The sequence below is a fragment of the Homo sapiens genome, chromosome 12 (assembly GCF_000001405.40).
Source record: "Homo sapiens chromosome 12, GRCh38.p14 Primary Assembly".
Lineage (NCBI taxonomy): Eukaryota > Metazoa > Chordata > Mammalia > Primates > Hominidae > Homo > Homo sapiens.
This window is the reverse complement of record NC_000012.12, coordinates 108,875,901-108,901,142: the sequence shown is the minus strand read 5'-3', so window position 1 is coordinate 108,901,142 and position 25,242 is coordinate 108,875,901. Positions and strand designations below refer to the sequence as shown.

The 25,242-nt window shown below is 47.9% G+C and overlaps 1 protein-coding gene and 1 long non-coding RNA gene across 6 annotated transcripts, besides 2 other annotated features; one reads left to right on the top strand and one right to left on the bottom strand.

The window, feature by feature from the left end:
* On the bottom strand, positions 100–21,051 carry DAO (D-amino acid oxidase). 5 transcript variants are annotated; one of them, NM_001413634.1, is made up of 12 exons: positions 20,919–21,051; positions 20,752–20,833; positions 15,943–16,145; positions 13,579–13,693; positions 11,598–11,674; positions 10,870–10,935; positions 8,107–8,161; positions 6,776–6,880; positions 4,055–4,137; positions 2,347–2,464; positions 1,668–1,766; positions 100–739 (listed from the first exon to the last, which is right to left on the bottom strand). In NM_001413634.1, exons 3-12 carry the CDS (start codon positions 16,134–16,136, stop codon positions 608–610), a joined length of 1,044 nt encoding a protein of 347 aa, NP_001400563.1. In that variant the 5' UTR covers positions 16,137–16,145; positions 20,752–20,833; positions 20,919–21,051; the 3' UTR covers positions 100–607. The 5 variants fall into 5 exon arrangements, with proteins under 5 accessions (NP_001400563.1, XP_011536306.1, NP_001908.3 ...); XM_011538004.3 differs by having other exon boundaries at positions 20,752–20,829; NM_001917.5 differs by lacking the exon at positions 20,752–20,833.
* Positions 647–7,678, top strand: LOC124903011 (uncharacterized). The gene is made up of 2 exons (XR_007063453.1): positions 647–1,165; positions 7,315–7,678. It is a non-coding gene; the product is annotated as an uncharacterized LOC124903011 (long non-coding RNA).
* Positions 10,643–10,843: a silencer, noted in NCBI's record as "peak1937 fragment used in MPRA reporter construct". NCBI's record gives its function as "represses an SCP1 promoter by STARR-seq MPRAs in K562 erythroleukemia cells {active_cell/tissue: K562}" and the evidence as "EXISTENCE:reporter gene assay evidence [ECO:0000049][PMID:32103011]".
* Positions 20,674–21,291: an enhancer, noted in NCBI's record as "H3K27ac-H3K4me1 hESC enhancer chr12:109273628-109274245 (GRCh37/hg19 assembly coordinates)". NCBI's record gives its function as "activates a minimal SCP1, AML or CMV promoter by ChIP-STARR-seq in naive H9 embryonic stem cells {active_cell/tissue: H9 hESC(naive)}" and the evidence as "EXISTENCE:reporter gene assay evidence [ECO:0000049][PMID:30033119]".

Genomic DNA, 25,242 nt, shown 5'->3' with positions numbered 1-25,242 from the left:
ACACCATGTGTTACTAGTTCAGTGCCTCACCTCTCTGCCCTCTCCACACCCCAGTTGTATGTATAACCTCCTACAACAAACACAACAGATACAACAAAATCTGTTCCAGCATTTTCTCAGATTTGTGTCATGGCATTCATGGGTGCTCTGGGCAAAAGAGTTCCATAGCCAGATAGGTTTAGCAAGCACTGGGTTAAACAACATCAGATAGTTGTCTTTGCTGCAGGACTTTTCAGAACCTTTAATATGTTAGTACAACTTGTAATCAGGTTACTTAGCCTCAATTATCCTCCATTTTCTGTGGCTCTGGGCAGTTGGCCTCTTTGATTTTCTGAGCTGTCCTTTCTTCTGAAGACTCATGGAATGACAGCCTCAGCTGTTCTTTATAATGCCAGACCCAGAGAAGGTAGAGGGATTTCAGTGATGAGAGGGGCCCCATGTTGGGCTGAACCCTTCTCCAGGCACTGACTTTGTGGCTTTCTCTCACCTCATGCTTCTTTGAGGAAAGAAGTGAGGGAGAAGCAATGGCTTATGAAGGAGCACATTGATTCATTGGCTGAGGGGAGAAGGGAGTTCTTGTGGGGGGAGGCAGCAGTCACTGGAGTCTTCAGAGGTGGGATGGTGGCATTCTGGACAATTTCTTTTCTTCCAGGATTCTCCCAAAGAGCTTGGCTGCCTCCAGGGCACATCCCCAGTGGATGGTGAGCCCGTAGCCTCCATGGCCATAGTTGTGGATGACCTAGGAGAGGCAAGAGAGAAGGTGGCCAGGTCCGAGAGGGACAGTGGAAAGAATAGATGAAGCTCTTCTGCCCTGGAAGACTCAGGAGCCTCCCGAAGAGTCCTGGGCAAAGCCAGATGCCACCTGAGCTTCTCTTGGCACCGGGGTGGAATGGTGGGGACCCCCTGGAACAGTTGCAAGAGATGATGGGGCAGCCACAAAATGGATATCTGGAAATAGCCTTGGAGTCAAATTCAAATCACATCCCAGCCCTGCCTTCCACCAGTGGTCTGACTTGGGCAAGTGACTTCACCTCTTAATTCACCCCAGTTTCCTCATCCGAAGCATAGGGAGAACTGTCCCTATCCCAAAGAGCTCCAGAGGAGATTTAATAAGGTCATTCATGTAATGGACTTGCTGCTGTGTCTGACACGAAGTACACATCCAGTAAGTACACATTTTCCTGTTATTTGACCACAGACTTTAGAAAACCAACCCCATTCACCATTTCACCACCATCATTAACACTGCCATTGATACTGTCATCTCTGCCACACGATTAATATTGCCAATGAGACAGTTAGTGCAGCCATGTTAACACTGCCTTTGAGATCGTCACCTCTGCTGTGGTACTAACATACTTGATAGTGTCATTTCCATCAGCACCAGCTACCATCCCCACTCCCAGTCACACCATTATCAACATTGATCTCATCAGCACCACCTCCATTAACATCACCACTGCCCCTCTATGTAACCTTGAGCAGGTCCTTAACCATCATTGAGCCTCAGTTTCCCCATTTATAGAGGAGGGGATATTAGCCACCACTGCCCCTGCCTGCTATGGAGCCTGTGTGGAACTTGAGATCAGACATGACTGTTCCCTGAAAATGCCAGAGCCATCTGAGGAGTGGAAGAGGGCATTACTTTCCTTGCCATGGGAGCATACCTCTGTGTTTGAAGGTCCAGTGCGAAGCTGTTCTCTTTCTAGCCGAATCTGGGGGCGTACTGGCCGGAAGCCAGTTCGTTCACCAATAATTCTTGCATTCTGGAAAGAAAAGTGCTGATCACTCATTTCTGGATTTTTTTTTCCTGCTGCCATTTTTAGGTAGTAGGGAGTTAGCTTTTAGAATCTCATCACCACCACCACTAATATAATCACAGTCATCTTTATCAATCACCACTACCACCAACACCATCTTTATCAGCTACCAACATCATTACCATTACTGCTTCCACCTTTCCACCAATTCCATCATCAACCACTACCCTCACCATCAGCCACCACCATAATTTTAACAACTGTCACCACCTTATCACCATCACTATTACCATTCTCAGCATTTTCCTCACCATCAGTACCAACTCATCCTCATCACCATCACTACTGTCATCATCACTCGCAGACAAATGTGAAAACCAAGGGCTCTCAGCCATGGCCAGACAGGATTCATTAGCCCATAGCAAGAACTTCCCTGTACATTATCAAATTCTGTTATGTTCCACATCCCTTGCTGGAATTAATTTGCCCAGTTATCCCAGCGGTGGCATCTTCCCGTCCTGAAGTGTCCTCATTACCAAGCTCCCACGACCTTGGTTTAGGGCACTGCTACTCCTCCCTACCTTACCTTCAGTGTGGGCTCCAGTCTGCAGCAGCCTTCCCAAATGGTGTTGTGGTCCTGGATATTGTTTAGTTCACTCCAGTTTCCCAACTGGAAGATGCCTCCAAGAGTAACTGTCTGGGTCCTAGATACAAATGAGGAGGGTCAAGGATGAAGGAAAATGAAGGCTCTGAGATGAATAAAGGTCATTACCATCAACCTTGTCACCTCTGCTAACACCACCACCATCACTACCTCAATTGCCACTGTCATCACCATCAACACCAACAACGAACTCTTCCATCACCACTTCCATCAATGTTGTCATCTCCATCAACAACATTGTCTTTGCTACTATCATTAATAGGTCATCACCACCAACTGCATTCATCATTTCACCACCACCACTAACATTGCCATTGATATTGTCATCTCCACGACACCAGTAACATCGCCATTGAGATAACATGGTTGGTGCAACCATGTTATTAACATTGCCTTTGAGACTGTCAGCTCTGCTACAGTATTAACATCATTGATAGTGTCATTTCCATCAGCACCAGCTACCATCCCCACTCCCAATCACACCTTCATCAACATTGATCTCCTCATCAGCACCAGACCACCTCCATTAACATCACCACTCTACAACTCTTACGCTAATCACCACCCCCATGAACGCTGTCTTCCCCATCAATACAATATTATCCCTAATACCACCATTCCGCTATCAACAATATTGTCATCCCATGAACACCACCACTGGTTTCAGTGACATTGTCATCTCCACCGTTAACATTATCATCACCATCAGCCCCAATCACCATTCCCATTCCCACTCCCATTATTGCCATTCACACCACTTTTTTTTTTTTTTGAGATGGGGTCTCGCTCTGTGGCCCAAGCTGGAGTACAGTGGTGTGAACATGGCTCACTGCATCCTCAACCTCCCAGGTTCAAGCAATCCTCCCATCTCAGCCTCTCGAATAGCTGGGACCATAGGCATACACCATCACGCCCGGCTAATTTTTGTATTTTTGTAGAGACGGGGTCTTGCCATGTTGCCCAAGCTGGTCTTGAACTCCTGGGCTCAAGAAATCCTCCCACATTGGCCTCGCAAAGTGCTGGGATTACAGGCGTGAGCCACCTACATACCACTTTTAGTGTCACCACATTACATCCACTGCCTTTGTCTCCAGCATCACCACTATTGTCATCCAAAAGAATGTTCACGGTAGACCTCAGTCGAGGCTGAGTCTGCCTTCCCAGGGATTCAGTAGCTCAAACTCACTAAAAACATTGAAAGGGGCCAGGCACGGTGGCTCACGCCTGTAATCCCAGCACTTTGGGAGGCAAGGGTAGGTGGATCACCTGAGTCAGGAGTTCAAGACCAGCCTGGCCAACATGGTGAAACCCTGTCTCTACTAAAAATACAAAAAATTAGCTGGATGTGGTGGTGGGCACCTGTAATCTCAGCTACTTGGGAGGCTGAGGCAGGATAATTGCTTGAACCTGGGAGGCAGAGGTTGCAGTGAGCCAAGATCGCACCATTACACTCCAGCCTGGGCAATAAGAGTGAAACTCTGTCTCAAAAAATAATAATAAAAAATAGCTAAGTACATAAAAACATTGAAAGGGAACAACTGCAGGGAGTAAGGAGCTTGGGGGAGGCAGCAGGGTCATGAAGAGGGCATGAAGGGGACCACTCTTCTGCCCGAGAACAGTCCAATTTTACCCTGGGATGATGTACGGGGAATTGTAGATGCCTCTCTCTGGGTCATGGGTGAGAATGAAGTGCTTCATCCAAGGGGCGTCCACCTGTTGATTCAGGGCAGGAAAGTCTCATCAGCGGAGGTGAGTCAATGTGGCTGCCCTTGCTCCCCTCTGTGGCCAGATGTCCTGACAAGAGTGGCCAGGCTGATTCCTTATAAGACCTCTCATGACACTATGGCCCAAGTCTGCACCTGACTGCTTGCCTCTTGCAGGAAGAGCTGCCCTAATTGGCAGCCACCCCTGCTCCCTGAAGCATTGTTTCTCCTCACCCACATGTCCGAAGAAAAGCACCAGTACACACATGTAAATGCATACACATGAGAAATAAAAATAAAATTCTAAGTCCCCAACCGACTGAACAGACCCCCTCTTGGCCCCAGGAGCCCCAGAGAAACCTTGGAGCTGAGTTCACAGCTGCGGGGGGAAGGGAGGTCCGACACGTCTCATTATATCCCCTCCCTCAATGACCTGACCAAAGTTAGGCTTTCTTCCCTAAGGGGTAAGCAGAAACCAGCCCTTTCAACAGACTCCACACTGATAACATCAATGACAAGCTTATCTTCCCAGATACAGAACTTCCTCCATTCCTTTTTCCTTCAAACCTTCAATTTTTTTTTTTTTTTTTTTTTTTGAGACAGCCTCGCTCTGTTGCCAGGCTGGAGTGCAGTGGTGTAGTCTCGGCTCACTGCAGCCTCTGCCTCCCGGGTTCAAGCGATTCTCCTGCGTCAGCCTCCCGAGTAGCTGGGATTACAGGCACCTGCCACCACACCCAGCTAATTTTTTGTATTTTTAGTAGAGATGGGGTTTCACCACGTTGGCCAGGCTGGTCTCGAACTCCTGACCTCGTGATCCACCTGCCTCAGCCTCCCAAAGTGCTGGGATTACAGGTGTGAGTCACCACGCCTGGCCCAAACCTTCATCTTATGTAAAATGTAGATTTACTGGGCACTAACTAAAGTTTCACAAGTATGCAATCATTCTCTCGCTGCTACACCCTTCTCTCACTTTTTTTTTTTAAAGAAAATGTATAAAGACTAAATCTCCTGAGAACCTCTTTGGAAAAAGGAGTCACAGGTGCATCTGTGACTCGCGTTTTTCCTGGGTGCGCCCTCAAGCTGGCTCCATAAACCTCGATGATTTGAGACTTATGCTTCAGTCACTCATTTGGTTGTTACACCCATCAGCCCACATTAGGAACACACACACGCACCCCTACACACAGAAGCACACACACCTGCACACCTATGAACATTCACAGGTGCACATGCACACACACACCCTCAGACACACACCCTCACACACATGCACACACACACCCTCACATGCATCCACACATATACCCCTCACACACATGCATGCACACACACCCTTACATACATGCACACACCCTCACACACATGCACACACATACCCTCACACACATGCATACATACTCTCACACACACACACCATCACACACGTACATACACTCTCACATGCGCACACACCTTCACACACATGCACACACACATACCCTCACATGGTGTGCATGCACGCACACCATCACACATATGCACATACACCCTCACATACATGCACAATCACCCCCACATACGTGCACACACACCGTCACACATATGCACACACCCTCACACACATGCACACACACCCTCACATATGTGCACACACCATCACATATGCACACACCCTCACACACATGCACACACACCCTCACACATGCACACACACCCTCACACATGCACACACACATATGCACACATACCCTTACATACACACACACACATACATGCACACACACATACCCTCATATGCACACACACAGCAAGAGGAGGCATGGAACAATGCTTGCACGCACAGGCTCTTAAGCCAGGTTGCCTGGATTCCAATCCCAATTGCACTGCGTACTACCGTGTGAACTTGTGCCTGTTACTTAACTCCTCTGTGCCTCAATTTCTTCATCTGTAAGATGACAATAACGATATGGTAGTACCCAGCTCGAAGGGCTGTGGCCATCACTAAATTAATTAACACAATAGGCTGAGCGTGGTGGCTCACGCCTGTAATCCCAGCACTTTGACAGGCCAAGGTGGGGGGATCACTTGAGCCCAGGAGTTTGAGACCAGCCTGAGCAATATGGTGAAATCCTTTCTCTACAAAAAATAAAAAAATTGGCTGAGCATGGTGGTGGCATGCGCTTGTAGTCTCAGCTACTCAGTAGGCTAAGGTGGGAGCCTGGGAGGTCAAGGCTACAGTGAGCCATGATCAAGATACTGCACTCTAACCTGGGCAATGGAGTGATACCCTGTCTCAAAAATAATAATAACAATGATAATAATAATAACACAATTAATAATTAATAATAATAATAAACACAATAAAGTGCTTAGGACTGTATCTCGCGCTTGGTAAACACTCTAATGTTTGCTATTTTTATTGCAATACAGGCATATGCTGCTCCCACATAGGTACAAGCGCATACATGCATGCTTCACGATCAAGAGGAAATCCTGAAAGAGAGCAATGGGGGTGGGACAGGTTTGTTTTTTTTACATGTCAATTCCCTGCAGTCCGGGGGGTTCCTCTAACAGATGTTCCTGATTTGTCCATGATCTTGAGGGATGAAATAAGCATGCAGAATGATCTTCCTATTAACAAAAGGTAGGGGTCTCACCCTCACACTCACCTTCATGATCTGCCCCCGGCCTGGCTGCAGCAGGGGGTCTCGTTGTAGCGCCCCAGCCCATACCCCAGTGCAGTTGACAATCACGTCTGCGCCTTCTCTTGCCACCTGGTAGCAACCAACAGGGTAGTGGGGGATGAAAGGTGGGGAAGACCCTGGTATTCCCTGTTCTCTCTTCCCCTTTCTTCTACCCTCAATCTGTCTACTCCCTGATGAACAGTGGGGAGAGGTCTCAATGAGGAATCAGAGGGGCCTGGCTTCAAATTTTCATACTGCCATTTATCTGACGTGTGACCTTGAAAATGTCTGGTTACCTCCTTAATTCTCAGCTGCCCCTGTAAAATGAGGCTGCCCATGGCTGTTCATAGGCTGTTATGAGGCTCCTGCACAACTCTGAATATAAAAGTGGTTGTAAAACAGTTCTTTGGATGGGGGAAATCTTCCTGGAACCTCCCAAAAGAAGTCAGAAAGGAAGCAGAGAGAGTTCTCTTTCTCCTTCTGACTCCTTTTAACTTTATTCTCTTGCCTTCTACTCTGCCAAGACATTTGCAGAAGACACGTTGGAACCCCAGCTCTGTCTACAGATGAGATGATCTCATCTCAAGCACGCATCGTGAGCCCCTAAGCTCCCCAACCCAGCCCCAGTGACTCTCACCACGAGTAAGTTAAGGGACACACACATTGCAAGACGCTACTATTGTTCCTGAGTGAATGACTGAGAATGAGGACTGCATTGGGTCGACCATGTATCTTCGGTGTCCATCAGGGCCTGACCAGAGCAGGTTAGTCTTCATGACATAGCACTAGTAGCTACATGTACGGAGCGCCTTCCTTGTGCCAAGCAGGGTTTTAGATGCTGGGATTGAATGAAGCCATACAGTAAAGCTCTTTTTGCTGGTGCCTGGAGATGGTGGCTTTTCCTGTCATTATTATTGGTGGTGGTGCTTCTTTAGAGGTGAGTCAGCTGAGGGCCTGGACTTTGCAGAAAGACCAACACAGATGTCGGTAGGGCTAGGAAGCAACCAAGTTCTGACCTTGGAGTGCAGCTGACACTGAGAAAATGCGGCCAGCTCTCTAGACCCAAAACTCATTGAGTCTCAGATATAAATCAGCTCCTAATGGCCACCATGATCCCAGTGTTCCTTTGTTCCCACTACCAACATGAAGGCAGAGACTTCCTCCTTCAGAATACCTGAGTGCTTCTGGGGCAAGGGTCTGAGGCAGGCCTGTGGGGACCCTAGGAGCCTGAGAAGGGAGCCCCCGACTCAGCAGCAAGAAGCAGAGGCCTCCCCTCTTCTCCCTGCCCCATCCACCGCATCAGCCCTGCAACTCACCTCCTCAAAAGACTCCACTTTCCGCTGGAAGAACTTCACTCCCCTCTCAGTTAACCTGGGATGATCAAACACATCAAAAAGCCCAGTATTCAGCTATCTGCCCCATCCCACCAAGAGGGTGGCACAGGGACCTTTCCCAAACAACCTTCTGCGGACGTTAGTTGCACAGGATGCTGCTTGAGAAGATGGCTGTGTCATCAAATCAGCTCATGAGCACCTACTGGACTGGTGGTCCACAAAATCTCCTTTGAGAAACCAGAGATGGTCCAAGCCCCTTGTTGGGCAGATGGAGTGGGGGAAGGGCCTTGCTGAAGGCCATAGAGTGAGTCAATGATGGAGTTGGAACTCAAACCCAGGCCTCTTAGCCCCCAGCACTTCCTATGACCACCACATTGCTTTGTAACAGCAAAGGCGATGAGATTCAGAGTAGAGAAGGGGAGAGTTGTACCAGTGCCAAATTCCCCTTTGTCAGAAGCCGGGCATGAGGAGGGAGGTGGGCTGAGGACATCCACCCTCCTTTTAAACATCCCATAGGAAAAACATCTATCACGATTAGAAATACACTAGAAACAGCGAGGCGCGGTGGCTCACGCCTGTAATCCCAGTACTTTGGGAGGCCGAGGTGGGCGGATCACGAGGTCAGGAGATTGAGACCATCCTGGCTAAGACGGTGAAACCCCGTCTCTACTAACAATACAAAAAAAAAATTAGCCAGACGTGGTGGCAGGCGCCTGTATTCCAAGCTACTCGGGAGGCTGAGGCAGGAGAAAGGCATGAACCCAGGAGGCGGAGCTTGCAGTGAGCCGAGATTGCGCCACTGCTCTCCAGCCTGGGTGACAGAGCAAGACTCTGTCTCAAAAAAAAAAAAAAAAAAAAAGAAGAAAGAAAGAAATACACTAGAAACATCCAAAGAACAGGAAATAAGCCAAAAAGAAGGTGAAGCATACCCTTGGAACTATCTCATTTCCATCATTTCCTCAAGATAGAAAAACATCTTGAGGGCATGTTTTTCCTGGAAAAGACTGGACAAGGGTCATGTGTCCCCAGGTTAGGAGAAATAGCCATGTCTTAGTACAATGATTCCCAAACATGGCTGATAATTAGAATCGCCAGGAAGCTTCTTAAAATGCAAATTTTTGCTAGGCCTGTTTGCTCACGCCTGTAATCCCAGCACTTTGGGAGGCTGAGGCAGGAAGATTGCTTGAGCCCAGGGGTTTGAGACCAGCCTGGGCAACATAGTGAGACCCTATCTCTACAAAAATATTTAAAAATTAGATAGGCATTGTGGCACATGCATGTGGTCCCAGCTACTTTGGAGGCTGAGGTGGGAGCATCACTTGAGCCCAGGAAGTTGAGGCTGCTGTGAGTTGTGTTCATACCACTACATCCCACTCCAGCCTGGGTGACAAAGTAAGATTTTGTCTCAAAAAAATGAAAAAAAGCAAATTTATGAACCTTATCCCAGAAGTTCTAATTCAGCAGGTATAGAGTGGGGTCCTAAAATCTACATTTAAAAAAAATCTTCTGAGGTCATCTGATAAAAGCCACTATATATTCCATATTTTTTTAATCTTTTTTTTTTTTTTTGAGACAGGGTCTCGCCCTGTCACCCAGGCTGGAGTGCAGTGGCATGATCACAGCTCACTGCAGCCTCTCCTTCCCGGGATAAAGCCATCCTCCCACCTCAGCCTCCTAAGTAGCTGTGACTACAGGCATGCACCATTATACCTGGCTGATTTTTGAATTTTTCTGTAGAGACAGGGTTTTGCCATGTTGCCCAGGCTGGTCTTGAACTCCTGGGCTCAAGTGATCTGCCCACCTCGGCCTCTCAATGTGCTAGGATTACAGGTATGAACCACCATGCCTGGCCTAAAAATCTTTAAAAAACAGTAATATATAAAAAATGTATGGAATCAGGCTGGGCGTGGTGGCTGACACCTGTAATCCCAGCATTTTGGGAGGCCGAGGCGGGCAGATTACGAGGTCAGGAGATTGAGACCATCCTGGCTAACATGGTGAAAACCCATCTCTACTAAAAATACAAAAAATTAGCCAGGTGTGGTGGTGGCAGGCACCTGTAGTCGCAGCTACTCAGGAGGCTGAGGCAGGAGAATGACATGAACCCAGGAGGCAGAGCTTGCAGTGAGCCAAGATCGCACCACTGCACTCCAGCCTGGGTGACAGAGCGAGACTCCATCTCACACACACAAAAAAGGTATGGAATCTCCCTTAATATGAATGTATGTGAATATAAATACCAATGTATCTCTCAAGTGAGTGTTTGCTAATTTAGAACACTGCAAGATTCCTATTAACATGAGGAACAAGTCAAAGCCATCCACTATCATCTGTATGAGTAACATTGTTCTAGAGGTATTGGCCAAAGCAGTTAGAGAAGAAAAAAAAAGAGAGAGGGAGATAAAAATAAAAGGCAGCTTATGTTTTGCAGATGATGTAAATGTATCTGGAAACCTTAAAAGAATACATCTAAAACTATTACACAAACATTAGGGATTTGAAAGAGGTTGTTAATGGACATCATGTGTAAACAGCTGCCCAGGTGGTTCTGATGCTCAGCTAGGCTCAGGATCCATTGCCTCTGTGCCCAGCGGTGATCAGGACCAAGGATAGCTCCCACACCAGGCCTAAGGGTATTCTTCAAACCTGGGGGTTAGTCCATGCTGAGGGAAGCCCACGAACCATCTTCCACTACAACTTGGTCTCTGGGAGGTACCTCCCTCAAAGTGAAGCTTAAAATCTCACCTTTCAGTCAGCCACTGTAGATAGTTCTTTCCCTCCAGAATTAGGCTTGTGTGGAACCAGCCATAGCTAGAGTCACAGTAAGCAAAAGGTGGAAATAAAGGTAAAAATCAGAGCTATATTTGAAGGCTGTGAAATGGAGGTGGGAGCAATGTTGTTCTGTGGGCCCAAAGGGTAGTGCCAGGACCACTACGTGAAGTTCAAGGGGGGACGTGGTTTTGAGCTCAATGCAAGGAAAATTTTTCTATCAGAAAAGGCCATATCTGACATTGGAAAATGCAAGTGGAGATTGAATGTGCATTCGTAGAGGGGATTCAGGTGTGGTGTGGGGTGGGGTGAGGAGAAGACCAGAGAGGCATCAGGCTGTAGAGAAAAGAAAGGAGGGGTGTGGGGTCATACAGACTGGTTGGAATCCCAGTTTGGCCACTTGGCTGTGTGACCTTAGGAAGTCACTTAGCCTCTCTGAAACTCAGTATCTTCATCTACAAAACAATATGGTGATATGGAGCTTCTGGGCTTGAGATCTGTGATTTCATACCCCCTACCTTCCCAGCCCAAGGCCAGGTTTGAGTGGGTAGCCTCTCTGAAGGAGCTGGACCAAGGACCAGGAGACCAGGGTACCAGGGCCTGGGTAGGACAGGAAATCTGGTGCCTCTACCCTCTGCTGCCTTCTGGACAGGTCTGCTAACTCGTCAGGCCCCAGTCCCCTTTGCCTGTGACAATAAACTCACCCGTAATCTGGGAACATATCCAGCTCTCTGGGGGTCAGCTTCCGAAATCCCAGAACTGTGTCCTTCCAGGAAGGGTCCTGAAGAGGAAGGACAAAGGGGGCACTGGGTGGGATGGAAGTCAATAATAATGATAATGGGCCAGGCGAGGTGGCTCACACCTGTAATCCCAGCACTTTGGGAAGCTGAGATGGGTGGATCACCTGAGGTCAGGAGCTCCAGACCAGTCTGGCCAACATGGTGAAACCCTGTTTATACTAAATAATAATACAAAAATTAGCAAGATATGGTGGTGCATGCCTGTAATCCTAGATACTCAGGAGATTGAGGCAGGAGAATTGCTTGAATCTGGGAGCTGGAGGTTGCAGTAAGCCGAAATTGTGCCGCTGCACTCCAGCCTGGGCCACAGAGCGAGACTTCATCTCAAAAAAAAAAAAAATGATAATGACAGAGACTTATGTAATGCTAAGTGCATATAAGGCACTGTTCCAAGCATTTTCTTATACTGGTCCATTTAATCTTCACAAGAAGCCATTGGGGTGGATGCTATTCTTTCCCCAGTTTACAGATGGACCAATTGAGGCTTAGAAAGATTAAATAACTTGTCTAAGATTACACAGCTAATAAATGGTGGTGTTGGGATTTTAACCCATACAGCTTAGTTCCAGAGTTCATGTTCTTAACCCCTATTTATGGTAAGGGTAAGAGTAAGACCGAGGGTGAGTTATAGGGGAAAAGTCAGAAATAGGGGAGAGAAAGCAGAAACAGTGAGAGTCCCCGGGGATGAGAGAAAGCAACAGAGCATAGTGTCAGACAACAGAGCATAGTGTCAGAGACCCCAGCCTCATCACTTGCTACTTGAATTCTCTGAGACTCAGTTTCCTTGTCTGTATCATGGAGTTAATAATCACTCTTGGCCGGGTGCAGTGGTTCACGCCTGTAATCCCAGCACTTTGGGAGGCCAAGGCAGGCAGATCACTTGAGGTCAGGAGTTCGAGACCAGCCCGGCCGTCATAGTGAAACCCCATCTCTTAAAAATACAAAAATTAGCCAGGCGTGGTAGTGCGCACCTGTAATCCCAATTACTCAGGAGGCTGAGACAGGAGAATGGCTTGAACCCAGGAAGCAGAGGTTGCAGTGAGCCGAGATCATGCCAATGCACTCCAGCCTGGGCAATACAGTGAGACCCTGTCTCAAAAAAAAAAAAATACTCTTGGTCCCATGAAAGGTAACAGATAATGTGGATAAAGCCCTTAGCACAGTGCCAAAGGTTGAATGAACCTTGAGAGCTGGCACGGGGCTCTGGGCACAGCGCCAGACCACCCTCTCCAAGGAGCCTGAGCAAACCGTCCCAGGGCTGTGCTGTTCCTGTTAGCACACTGGACACCATGGAGTCACAGATGGCCTGGGTTCAAATCCCAGCTCTGCCACTGGCGAGCTCTGTGGCCTTGGGCAAGTTACTCCATTTCTTGGAGCCTCCGTTTTCTCATTTATTAAGTGAGGATAAGGACAGCCCTTACCTCCCGGTTATAAAGAGAATTAAATTAGTCGCTAGCTGTAAATTAGTTAGGACTGGACCTGGCACATAATAAATGCTTTGGCAGTTTTTGCTTTGATGAGTATTTTATTCCTTCTTGATAAAAAGCCTTGGGACCTTCAGGGGCACTTGAAACCTTTTGGCTTCAGCACCAAGTGCCCGTCACTGCAGAACATGTTTGTATTTTAGCCATGCTAATCAAAGGCTAGTTTCCCCTGGGCATCAGAAGATTCTTTGTCCTCTGCCAATTTAACAGCAAAATGTAAAACAAAAATAATTTTCAAAGCAAAAATAGAATTTAAACCAAACCTGTTTTGAACCCAGGAGTCTGTTGCCTACGAGACTCAAAGCACCCCGCCCTCATCTGTGATTAAGGCTCTGCTGCACCCACCCTCACTACCCCAGCCCTGGGTGCTCATCCCTCATGGTCAAGAACTGTTCACCCACCGGAATGGCTTCATGGAAGAGGTTGTAGCCCGAGATTAGGAACAGGCCCAGGTTTTCAGCGTTGGGAGAATGGACATGGCTCAGGAGATAGTCAAAGGTCTGTTGGCTCCAGTCCCTGGAAGGGTCATGAAGAGTTCGATCACCCAATGCCCTGAGCTGGGCAAAAAACCTTAGGTCAGCTGGCATGGGGCTGTGGCATGATCAGGAGCTTGGGGTGTGTCCAAAACCCAGAAATCCACCACGTTCACTCCTGCAACTCCCCAAATGCCTTGGGTCTTCTCCCTCCTAAATTTTCCAATATTTCCCCATTAATAGAATAAAGAAGAGAGGGAATGAAGGATGCCCCATCATAACCATATGGAGTGCACCTCCAGCATGGGATTACATGGCTGATGAGTTTCAGTGAAGTCCTTGACCTGGCTTTGGGGATTATGAGCCACACTGTTCAGTCTGGCTGCAAGCACCCCTCCTTGTAAACACTGGTGGCAGACATCGACTTGCCGCTCCTACAACTTTTCCTCCTCCCCCTGGGCACACAGCTCACCTACATTTCCTAGACCCTCTCGCAGCTAAATGTGACTGTGTGACTTGTTTCTGGCCAAGGGACTCTAAAGACTCTGCACGTGTGGTCCTGCATGATCCTTCTGCAGTCACCAGCCCATGTGAATGGTGACATTGAGGTGACCTCAAAAGCACGTGGAAAAACGGCAGAGCCATTAGATGGAAGGAGCCTGGGCCCCGAATCACTGCCCACTGATCAGAATCATTGGTTTTTTACAGCTGTGTGAATTAAAATTCTGGCTGGTTGCAGTGGCTCATGCCTATAATCCCAGCTCTTCAGGAGGCTGAGGCAGGAGGGTCACTTGAGGTCAGGAGTTTGAGACAAGCCTGGGTAACATAGGAAGACCCTGGCTCTACAAAAAATAAAGAAAATTATCCAGGCATGATAGCATGCATGTGTGTCCTCGCTACTTGGGAGGCTGAGGTGGGAGGATCACTTGAGCCCAGGAGGTCAAGGCTGCAATGAGCTATGATCATGTCACTGCACTTCAGCCTGGGTGACAGGATGCCTCTTAAAAATTTTTTTTTAATCTGTTTGAGCTGCTATTCATTGGGTGTTCCATTTGCTGAACCATCTGGCAGTTTCTAAACTACCATAATGACCTTTGCAATTTATTTGATAAATCTGTGCATCCATCCACCCACTTAGATGTTCACCCACTTAGAAGTTTTCTAGATTCAGCTGGGTGCAAGGGCTCACACCTGTAATCCCAGCACTTTGGGAGGCCAAGGAGGGCAGATCACTTGAGCCCAGGAGTTCAAGACCAGCCCGGGTAACATAGTGAGACCCTATCTCTATTTAAAAAGATAAAATTTGGCAAGGCATGATGGCTCATGCCTGTAATTCCAGCACTTTGGGAGGCCAAGGAGGGCAGATCACTTGAGCCCAGGAGTTCAAGACCAGCCCGGGCAACATAGTGAGACCCTATCTCTATTTAAAAAGATAAAATTTGGCAAGGCATGATGGCTCATGCCTGTAATCCCAGCACTTTGGGAGGTCAAGGTGGGCAGATCACTTGAGGTCAGGAGTTCGAGACCAGTCTGGCCAACATGAAACTCCATCTCTACTAAAAATACAAAAATTAGCCAGGCGTGGTGGCAGATGCCTGTAATCCCAGTTACTTGGGAAGCTGAGGCAGGAGAATCGCTTGAACCTGGGAGGCAGAGGATGCAGTGAGCCAGGATCACGCCATTGCACTCCAGTCTGGGCGACAAGAGTGAAACACAATCTCAAAAAATAAATAAAAATGTATAAATTAAAACAGAGGAAGTTTTCCAGATTCACCAATCATGTGGTATTGACAGGCACCCAGTTTAGGGAAGACGAGACAAAGCCTCCTAGTATCTGGCACAGAGCAAGGGGCTTAATATTTATGAATCTTTTCTTTATTTTTTTCTTTTTGAAACAGAGTCTCACTCTGTCACGAGTGCAGTGGCGGAATCTCAGCTCACTGCCACCTTCACCTCCTAGGCTCAAATGGTTTTCCTGCCTCAGCCTCCCGAGTAGCTGGGATTACAGGTGTGCGCCACCATGCCCGGCTAATTTTTTGTATTTTTGGTAGAGATGGGGTTTCACCACGTTGCCCAGGCTGATCTGGAACTCCTGGCCTCAAGTGATCCTCCCACCTCGACCTCCCAAAGTGCTAGGATTAAAGGCGTGAACCACCACGCCTGGCATTTTCTTTATTTTATGCTAGATCAGAGCTTCCACAAGGGGCTTGCTCTTGGTGATGGGAACCCTGACTCCCTCTGCAGACTTAGGTCCATGGGCACCCCAGGCTACCCTATGTGACCCTCACTCACGCCTCCTGTGGGTTGTTGGGGTCAGAAAGGTAGGGCTGCCAGAGGCCGGCAGCCACGTCGGTGGTGGTGAGTGGGGTGAAGCGGTCCGCGTAGACCTTTATGTCCAGTGGCTGCAGGACTGAGTGGTAGCGCTCATGGATGCAGAGGGCGGTGGACAGCCCGATGACTCCTGCTCCAATCACCACCACACGCATTGCAGCAGCCTGTGGGAAGGAAGGGTTGAGGCACAACATCATCACCATCATCTCCATCATCCTTAGCGCCATTGCCACCATCCACTGAAGGCTTAGAAGGTGCCAGACACCACCAAGCCCTTTTTATATTTGACCTTCCCGATGACCCCTAGGAGGAAGGAATATCATTGTTCCCGTTTTGCAAATGGAAACACTGAGGTATGGAGAAGTGACCGAGACTTGGCCACAGTCACACGGCTGGTGAATGATGCAACTTTCTCTGGGGAGCGTCCCCAGACACCCAGTTTCTGGGCTGGGAATAGAAAAGACCCAGCAGAGGGCACGACCAACTGTAGGCTGGGTAGGCCGGTGGTTAGTGCGATGGGCTCTGGCTTCAGGACTCAGCTCTGCCACCTACTGGCCGTTAACTTTGGGCAAGATGCTTCAACCTCTAATAACCTATGCTTGAGGGGATGGATGGGAAATTGAACAAGATGCCAAACGTAACAAATTTAACAAGCTGCCTGATGCAAAAGAAGTAATATACTGACATTTGTGGAGCACCTACTGTGAGCCAGCTGGCCCCGGCACTAAGTGCTTCACAAGCATCCATTCATCCAAGTCTCCCAACACTGTCATGAGGTAGGGGCTGCTGTTATCAGTCCCGTCTTACAGAGGAGGAAACTGTGGTTCAGAGAGGTGATGTGACTTACCTGAAGTCACACAGCCAGTTAAATGGTACAGCTGTGACTTAATTTCAATTTGAGTAAACTCAACACACGCTTAATGCACACCTACCATGTGCCAGGCTGGCAGCTAGCAAATGCAGCTATGAGCATGACAGACGCAGTGTCTGGCCTCAGAACTTGGTCTTCCAGCACAGAACTCCACCTGCCTTGGGGCACAGGGCTGATTGGGCCCTGAGAAGTTTAGAAGGCCTACCAGCTTTTAACCTTGAAGCTACTTAAGCCCGCACAGCAGGGAAATATTCTGCAGGCTCCTGCTGAGGCAGAACAAGAGAATTATTTGTGCCCAGAAGAGCCAAATTCAACTTTCCCTCATCTTCACTCACAACTCTCCTCCCGCAGACCTCAGCTCCTGGCAACTCGGGCCTGTGGCCCTGGACAGCGGGACATTCTTAATATGGCCTAGTTTTATAAAGGAGGGAAAACGGCTCCAGCCCACAAGAACTGGACTCTGTTGGGGTTTCAGAAGCCAAGTTGGAGATAGAACCAACAAACAGAAAGGTATCGTTCCTCTAGGCAATTCTCCTTCCAGCTTCGAGCCCGAGCTTGGATACTGGGGCTTAGGGGACAGCCCCTCTCAGGGACCCTTGGTCTTCTCTCTTCCCTCTTCCCCCATACTTTGCCTCTGGAGACACAAGCTCTTCATCTGCAAAACAGGGTTAATCCCAATCTCACAGGGTCATTTTAAGGATTAAATAAGAAGTTTAGCAAAAGTTCTTGGTACCACGCCTGGCACAGAGTAGGCCCTCAACACACAGCAGCCTCCTTCCTGTCTCCTAGCATTTTGAAAAATCACATAGAACAAAGACATTGCAGGAACAAAAGGAGAGAGGGAGGACCAGCTGCAGTGGCTTACGCCTGTAATCCCAATACCTCGGGAGGCCGAGGCGGGTGGATCACGAGGTCAGGACTTCAAGACCAGTCTGGCCAAGATGGTGAAACCCCATCTCTACTGAAAACTACAAAAATTAGCCAGGCGCGGTGGCAGGCGCCTGTAATCCCAGCTACTCGGGAGGCTGAGGCAGGAGAATCGCTTGAACCTGGGCAGCAGAGGTTGCAGCGAGTCGAGTTCGCACCACTGCATTCCAGTCTGGGCAACAGAGCGAAATTCTGCCTCAAAAAAAAAAAGAGGAGAAGAGAAAGGCAGAGTCAGACCTGGCTTCACTTCTGCCTTGCTGTGCGACCTTGGCTAAGTTAATTCCCCTCTCTGGGCTTTTTGACTGTCTGCATAATTTCCGGAGAGCTGACCACTCTTTTTCTTTTTTTTAAGAGACAAGGTCTCACTCTGTCACCCAGGCTGGAGTGCAGTGGCACAATCATAGCTCACTGCCACCTCCAATTCCTAGGCTCAAGCAATCCTCCCCCCTCAGCCTCCCAAAGCGCTGGGCTTTCAGGTGTGTGCCACTGCACCCGCCCGCTTGACCATTTTTATATGTTAACAATGAGAAGGCAGAGGAATAAAGGGCTTTCTGTATTTTTCCTAATTCTCCATGAAGAATCTAAGAGACAGTATGGCCCAGGCTGAGAGTCAGACAGACCCAGGTTCGCAGCCTGACTTGGGCACACACCAGCCATGTAACCCTGGGCAAGTTGCTCAACTTGACTGAGTGAGGGTGACCAACCTCCCCAGCTTGCCCAGGGCTGAGGGTCCTCCCAGGATGCAGACTTTCAGACTAAAAGTCAGTGCATCAGAGTCCCAGGCAAACCAGGATGAGTTGGTTAATCCTAATCGAACCTCAGTTTCCTCATCTATAAACTTTATTTTTTCGAGACAGAGTTTCACTCTTGTCGCCCAGGCTGGAGTGCAATGGTACAATCTTGGCTCACTGCAGACTCTGCCTCCCGGGTTCAGGTGATTCTCCTGCCTCAGCCTCCTGAGTAGCTGGGATTACAGGCATGCACCAACATGCCTGGCTAATTTTTGTATTTTTAGTAGAGACAAGGTTTCACCATGTTGGCCAGGCTGGTCTCAAACTTCTGACCTCAGGTGATTTGCTGGCCTCAGACTCTCAAAGTGCTAGGATTACAGGCGTGAGCCACCATGCCCGACCTCATCTATAAACTTTTATGAGAGCTGACAAAGCTCCTTGCCTTATTGTCTCCTCACTGGAATATCAGCTCCTGGACACCCAGGTGGTGAGAGGCAGAGCCCAGGCCAGCCTGACTCATAAGCCTAGGTGCTTAAATGCCATGCTTGCCAGTAAATCACATGGTTTGAAAAATCTGAGAATCAAGCCGGTAAATAGGAACAGCTGAAGCTTCAGAGTCCTGCATTTCAAACATAAAATATAATATAAAATAAGATAAAATAAAATAAAATAAAATGCCTGTAGGAATTTTTAGAGTGTTGGTAGGAATAGAATGGAAAATCAAAAAGGCCGGGCACAGTGGCTCACGTCTTTAATTCCAGCACTTTGGGAGGTCGAGGCTGGCAGATCACTTGAGGTCGGGAGTTCAAGACCAGCCTGGCCAATATGGTGAAACCCTGTCTCTACAAAAATACAAAAAAATTAGCTTGGCATGGTGGTGCACGCCTGAAATTCCAGCTACTCGGGAGGCCGAGGCAGGAGAATCCCTTGAACCTGGGAGGTGGAGATTGCAGTGGGCAGAAATCATGCCATTGCACTCCAGCCCAGGTGACAAGAGTGAAACTCTGTCAAAAAAAAAAAAAAAAAAAAAATTTAAAAGGAAAAAAGTGTGAGTCCTAAGTCAATTATCTTTTTTTAAAAAAATTCAAGATATGAGTCAAAGTTGACACTGATTATAGCAACGTGTGTGTGTGTGTGTGTGTGTGTGTGTGTGTGTGTTTTAAAATACAAAATAAATGCATGAGGTCCTCATGACAAGCCAGAGACAGATTGTCAGATGTGGCAGATCCAGCCTTAGGTAAAATCATTCATGCGTGTAGGTAATGAGCTTTTGGACTTAAACGCACCCAGCTCAGTTATTCGGTTGGACATTTTCGTGTTGTTGCTGATGTTTTTATTAGTGTTGCCGTTCTCCTCTGTTTTACATCATTACTTCAACCCAGCAAGCTTGGAGTATGTATCCCAGAAGATGCAAACAGCTGGGATTATTATATTTGTGTGTGTGTGTGTGTGTGTGTGTGTGTGTGTGTGATTAGAATGTCTGTGTAAGTGTGGAGCAGGAAGGGAACCAATGTATTTTGGTCTCTGCCACTTGCCAGACACCTGTAGATGCAGTACCGACATAATCCTCTCAATCCTCTCAACTGCTCTAGGAAGTAGGGAAGGTTACCGCCCTCATTCTGGAGGCTGGGACTGAGGTTTAGGGAGGAGAAGTCACCCACCCAAGGTTACGCAGTCAGTATGGGACAGCATTCGGACCTAGACCCAGTTCTATCGGCGCTTTCTGCACTGCTCCAAAAAAATATTTAGGCAGTTGGCATGCAGTTGCCACTTGATGCTTTCTGCTTGTCTTTCAGTCTTGCATTTATCTGCCTAGGACCTCCCTTGTCCCCTAGAAGGCAATCTGAGACAGCTGATGCCTTTGATTGCTATGTGCCCATAGCAAAGAATATGAAAGACTTCTTTTTAAAAAAAAAAATCAGTAAGCCAGAGATGAGGCATTTGAATGAACATAATTAGTTCTCCCTGGTTGCACCACACGGCTACTTCTCATGAAGTTATTTGCAGAGTTTATCCTTGAAATGGAACAGAAGCTATAAAAGTTTGAGAACCAGCCTACCAACTCCCCCACCAAAAATAATAATAACTACCATTTGAGTACTTGCTATGTGCCTAGATCTGCTCTAAGCACTTTACATGCACCACCTCTTTTAACACTCAGACTCACGCTGTAAGAGGGGAGTTATGATCCCCATGTTCCAGGTGAAGAAACTGAGGCTTGGGGAGGGAAAAATCACTTACCTATGGTCTCTCTGCTGGATGTTTGAGAGGCTGGATCTCTCCTTTCCTGTCACCTGCCTTAGGCTGTAATGTTGAGCCCTGTCTTTGACATTGGGAGGACATGAAATCCTTTGCCTCTCCCCTCTCCCAACCCCTGTCCCCAGCTCAAAGGTGCATCTGCCACTCACCGGAAGTACCAAACTGCTGGAGAGACCAGACAACTGCAGTGCGGGGACACAGGATGCTATTTCCTGAGGGGAAGCTCCTGATTCTGGAGCGTCTTGTTTCCAGCCCTCTGTCCGCCAGCCCGGACTGGAGTGCAGGGTCAAAGTCTGGAGCTATGGACAGGGCACGGCTTGAGGGGTGGGGCTCGGCACTGCACTGCCCACAGAGACTGGACCCAGGCCCGGCCGGGAGACCTCGCTCCCAGTCCCTGAAAAGTTGCCTGACTTTTCTGGCTGATCTCAAGCCCCTGTGGACAGGCCTTGGGGGAAGGAGGGAGGGCAGGCATTCTTGGAGGGTTGATGAGCACAAGAAGGTCTGTCTCTCTGGCCAGCTGGAGAGGATCCCCTTTCTTCCTTCTTCCTGCTGCCACCCTGGGGGAGGGTCAGGACGTTCCATGGGGCACTGTAGGCCTGGCCTGCGGTGGGGGTGGTCAGCCTGGCAGCCCCTGAGGGGAAAGGAGAGGCACAGGACAGGGGCTCCCTGGGCCAGCCCGATGCCATTCCAGGACGCTGGGGAGATGAGGCCAAGGAGAGACTGGAGGTGACGCCTGTGTGGGCCATGAGGATGCGTGGCTCTTTGCTCCCGTATCCCAGAGACGCAAGCAGCAGGACTCCAGGCCCTTCCTCTGCCAGGGATAAACATGGAGCTGTGATTTTTAGAGCCCAGAGATCTGCAGGCACCTCACTGTACAGATGGGAAGACTGAGGCCTGAGAGAGAGGGACCAACCAGCCCTGAGGGAGGCATTCTTTGGGTCAGCTTTAGCAATCCAGCCTCTAACACCTGCCTTTAGTATCATCAAATAAAAAGACGAAGATGAAATAAGAAAATGCATGCAAAATACTCACTGCATAGTATTTTTTCCTTTTTTAAAAGAGGGTCGGCTGGGCACAGTGCCTCACACCTGTAATTCTGACACTTTGGGAGGCCATGGTGGGTGGATCACCTGAGGTCAGGAGTTCGAGACCAGCCTGGCCAACATGGCGAAACCCCGTCTCTACTAAAATTACAAAAAATCAGCCAGGAGTGGTGGGGTGTGCCTGTAATCCTGGCTACACAGGAGGCTGAGGCAGGAGAATTGCTTGAACCTGGTGGGTGGAGGTAGCAGTGAGCCAAGATGGCACCACTGCACACTCCAGCCTGGGCTACAGAGCGATACTCTGTCTAAAAAAAAAAAAGAAAACAAAAAAAAAGAAAAAGAAAAGATAACAGACAGGGTCAGGCCAGGCGCAGTGGCTCTTGCCTGTAATCGCAGCACTTTGGGAGGCCGAGGTGGATGGATCACTTGAGGTTAGGCGTTTGAGACCAGCCTGGCTAACATGTTGGTGAAACCCTATCTCTACTAAAAATACAAAAATTAGCCGGCCGTGGTGGCACATGTCCGTAATCTCAGCTACTCGGGAGGCTGAGGCAAGAGAATCACTTGAACTGGGAGGCGGAGCTTGCAGTGAACCAAGATCAAGCCACTGCACTCTAGCCTGGGTGACAGAGTGAGACCCAGTCTCAAAAAACAAAAAAAAAAAAAAAAAAAAGAGAGAGAGAGAGAGAGAGGATCTCACTCTGTCACCCAGGCCAGAGTGCAGTGGCGCCTTGAACTCCTGCGCTCAAGCAATCCTTCTGCTTCAGCCTAGCCAGGACTACAGATGCATGCCATAACACCCAGCCAAATTACTTACTTTTTGTAAAGACAGGGTCTTGCTATTTTGCCCAAGCTGGTCTCAAACTCCTGGCCTCAAGCAATCATCCCACCCCGACCTCCCAAAGGGTTGGGATTACAGGCATAAGCCACCACGCTATGACATATTTTTTTTTCTTCAATAATAAAAAATGGATAGGGTGAAACCCACTTTTTACTTTATATCTAACTAGTTTGAATTTTAATACAATAGTCATGTATCACTTATATAACATATGGCCCTTATAAAGTTCCCTGTGTGTTTAATTCATCATGGGAGCACTTGAACATTCATAAAAGTTAGTCCAATATCTTCATGCTCCCCACTGCCATCACAGCAATAATTTACGTTTTGTAAATTGCGGTGTACCAATTCTAAATACCTGGATTTTCTTTTTTTCTTTTTTATTTTTTTCTGAGACAGAGTCTCACTCTGTCGCCCAGGCTGGAGTGCAGTGGTGCCATCTCAACTCACTGCAACATCTGCCTCCCAGATTCAAGCAATTCTCCTGCCTCAGACTCCCGAGTGGCTGGGTTTACAGGCACATACCACCTCACCTGGCTCATTGTTTTTCTATTTTTAGTAGAGACAGGGTTTCACCATGTTGGCCAGGCTGGTCTTGAACTCCTGACCTCAGGTGATCTGCCCACCTTGGCCTCCCAAAGTGGTGGGATTATAGGCGTGAGCCACCGCACCCTGCCTTACCCAGATTTTCTCTTTGAATCTCGAAACAGCCCTGTAAGGCAGGTGCTGTTATTATCATCCCCACTTCAGAGTTGAAATTCAGAAACTTGCTCCAGCATCCACTGAAGTTAAAGATGGCTATCCTAATATCTATCATGCCCACGCCTATATATATACCCAAGATAAATGAAAACACACATCAATCAAAAGGCTTCTGTAAGAATGTTCATAGCCCCTGTTAACTAAAAAAAAAAAAAAAAAAAAAATCACAAATGTGTAAATTCAGAGAGGAGAAGAAATCTTATTTCTTATAAGGGGTTATAGCCCACAAGGTGACCAGTCCATGGCCTGGGAAGTATGCCTCCTACCAAGAACAGAGACGGGCACTTTGAAGGAGGAGGGGTTGGGTTAGGAGCTTTGTGCTGAAGGGGTTGGCTGAATGATATATCCAGCAGGTTACAGGAGAAGCTATGAATATTTATGAAGGTGGCCCCAACACATGTGTATGAACAAATGTGCATGTAACATACAACCCATGTTCACTTTGGGGTGGAGACTTAACATTTAAATGTATTACAATTAGGCCAGCCATGGTGGCTCATGCCTATAATACTAGCACTTTTGGAGTCCAAGGTGGGTGGATCGCTTGAGCCCAGGAGTTTGAGACCAGCTTGGGCAACATGGCGAAACCCCTGTCTCTACAAAAAATACAAAAAGTAGCCGGGCGCAGTTGCGTGCACCTGTAGTCCCAGCTACTTGGGAGGCTGAGGTGGGAGGATTGCTTGAGCCCAGGAGGCAGAGGTTGCAGTGAGTTGTGATCGTGCCACTGCACTCCAGCCTGGGCAACAGAGTAAGACCCTATCTCAATCAATCAATTGATCAATCAATCAATCAATGTATTACAATTAGAACCTACACATCAAAATGTCTTTTCAGGAAATGCAGGCACATGAGGTTGCGGTTTCGTAACCCCACCAGAAGCAGTCCATAGTCAGTGATCTTTTTATTAGGAGAAAGTTACCAAACTCAGTCTCTTGTTCAATCAAAGCTGTAGTTGTTGTTATGACTGGAGGAACAGGGTGTCAGTTGGGTGTCTGTGTGCTAGATGAGTTGTAACTGTTTTAATATTGCTTCTTCTGAGGCCAGTGCTTGTTTCGCTGCTAGAGAAAAAGAAAAATCTTGTAACATAATTAGAACATAGTTTATTCCTTAAGAGTAGGGGCACCTGACTTAACCCTTGCCTGACATGGCCTTAGGCTGTGTTTATAATTTGGTATCTTATTGCCACAAAAAGTCTGTTCTGTCAGTCTTATAATCTCTCTCTCTTTTTTTTTTTTTTTTGAGACAGAGTCTCACTCTATTACCCATGCTGGAGTGCAGTGGAAAGATCATGACTCACTGCAGCCTCTGCTTCCTGGGCTCAAGCGATCCTCTCACCTCAGCCTCCCCAGTAGCTGGGACCACAGACACGCACCACCGTGCCTGGCTAATTATTTTATTTTATTTTATTTTATTTTGTAGAGACAGAGTTTCACCATGTTGCCCAGGCTGGTCTCGAACTTCTGGCCTCAAGTGATCTGCCTTCCTCAGTCTCCCAGGGGACTGGGATTACAGGTGTGAGTCACCATACTCAGCCCTCTATTTTAGCATTGATGCTGATCTTTTCTTGTATCTAAACCACAAAAGGAAGGAAGGGAGTGTAATGTGGTGTGCCTGACCTCCTGTCTCATCATGGCTGGAAACAAAGTTTTTAAAGTTTTTCTGGGGTTCCCTTTGCCAAGAAGGGTGTTCATTTAGTGGACCCTTAGGATTTTATTTTGAATTTACACCCCAAACTGGAAACAACCAAATATCTATGAGACAGAGGATGGATAAACAAATTGTGGTGTTTTCAGGAAACAAAACTCCCCCCTCCAAAAAAAAATTCAC

Coding starts and splice junctions, on each gene's coding strand:
- DAO (NM_001413634.1), bottom strand. CDS start 16,136: ATGCGTGTGGTGGTGATTGGAGCAGGAGTCATCGGGCTGTCCACCGCC. Junction 10,936..11,597: donor GATATGTTCCCAGATTACGG/GTGAGTTTATTG, acceptor CTGTGACTCTAG/CTATGGCTGGTTCCACACAA. Junction 4,138..6,775: donor GCCGGGGGCAGATCATGAAG/GTGAGTGTGAGG, acceptor CTGAATCAACAG/GTGGACGCCCCTTGGATGAA.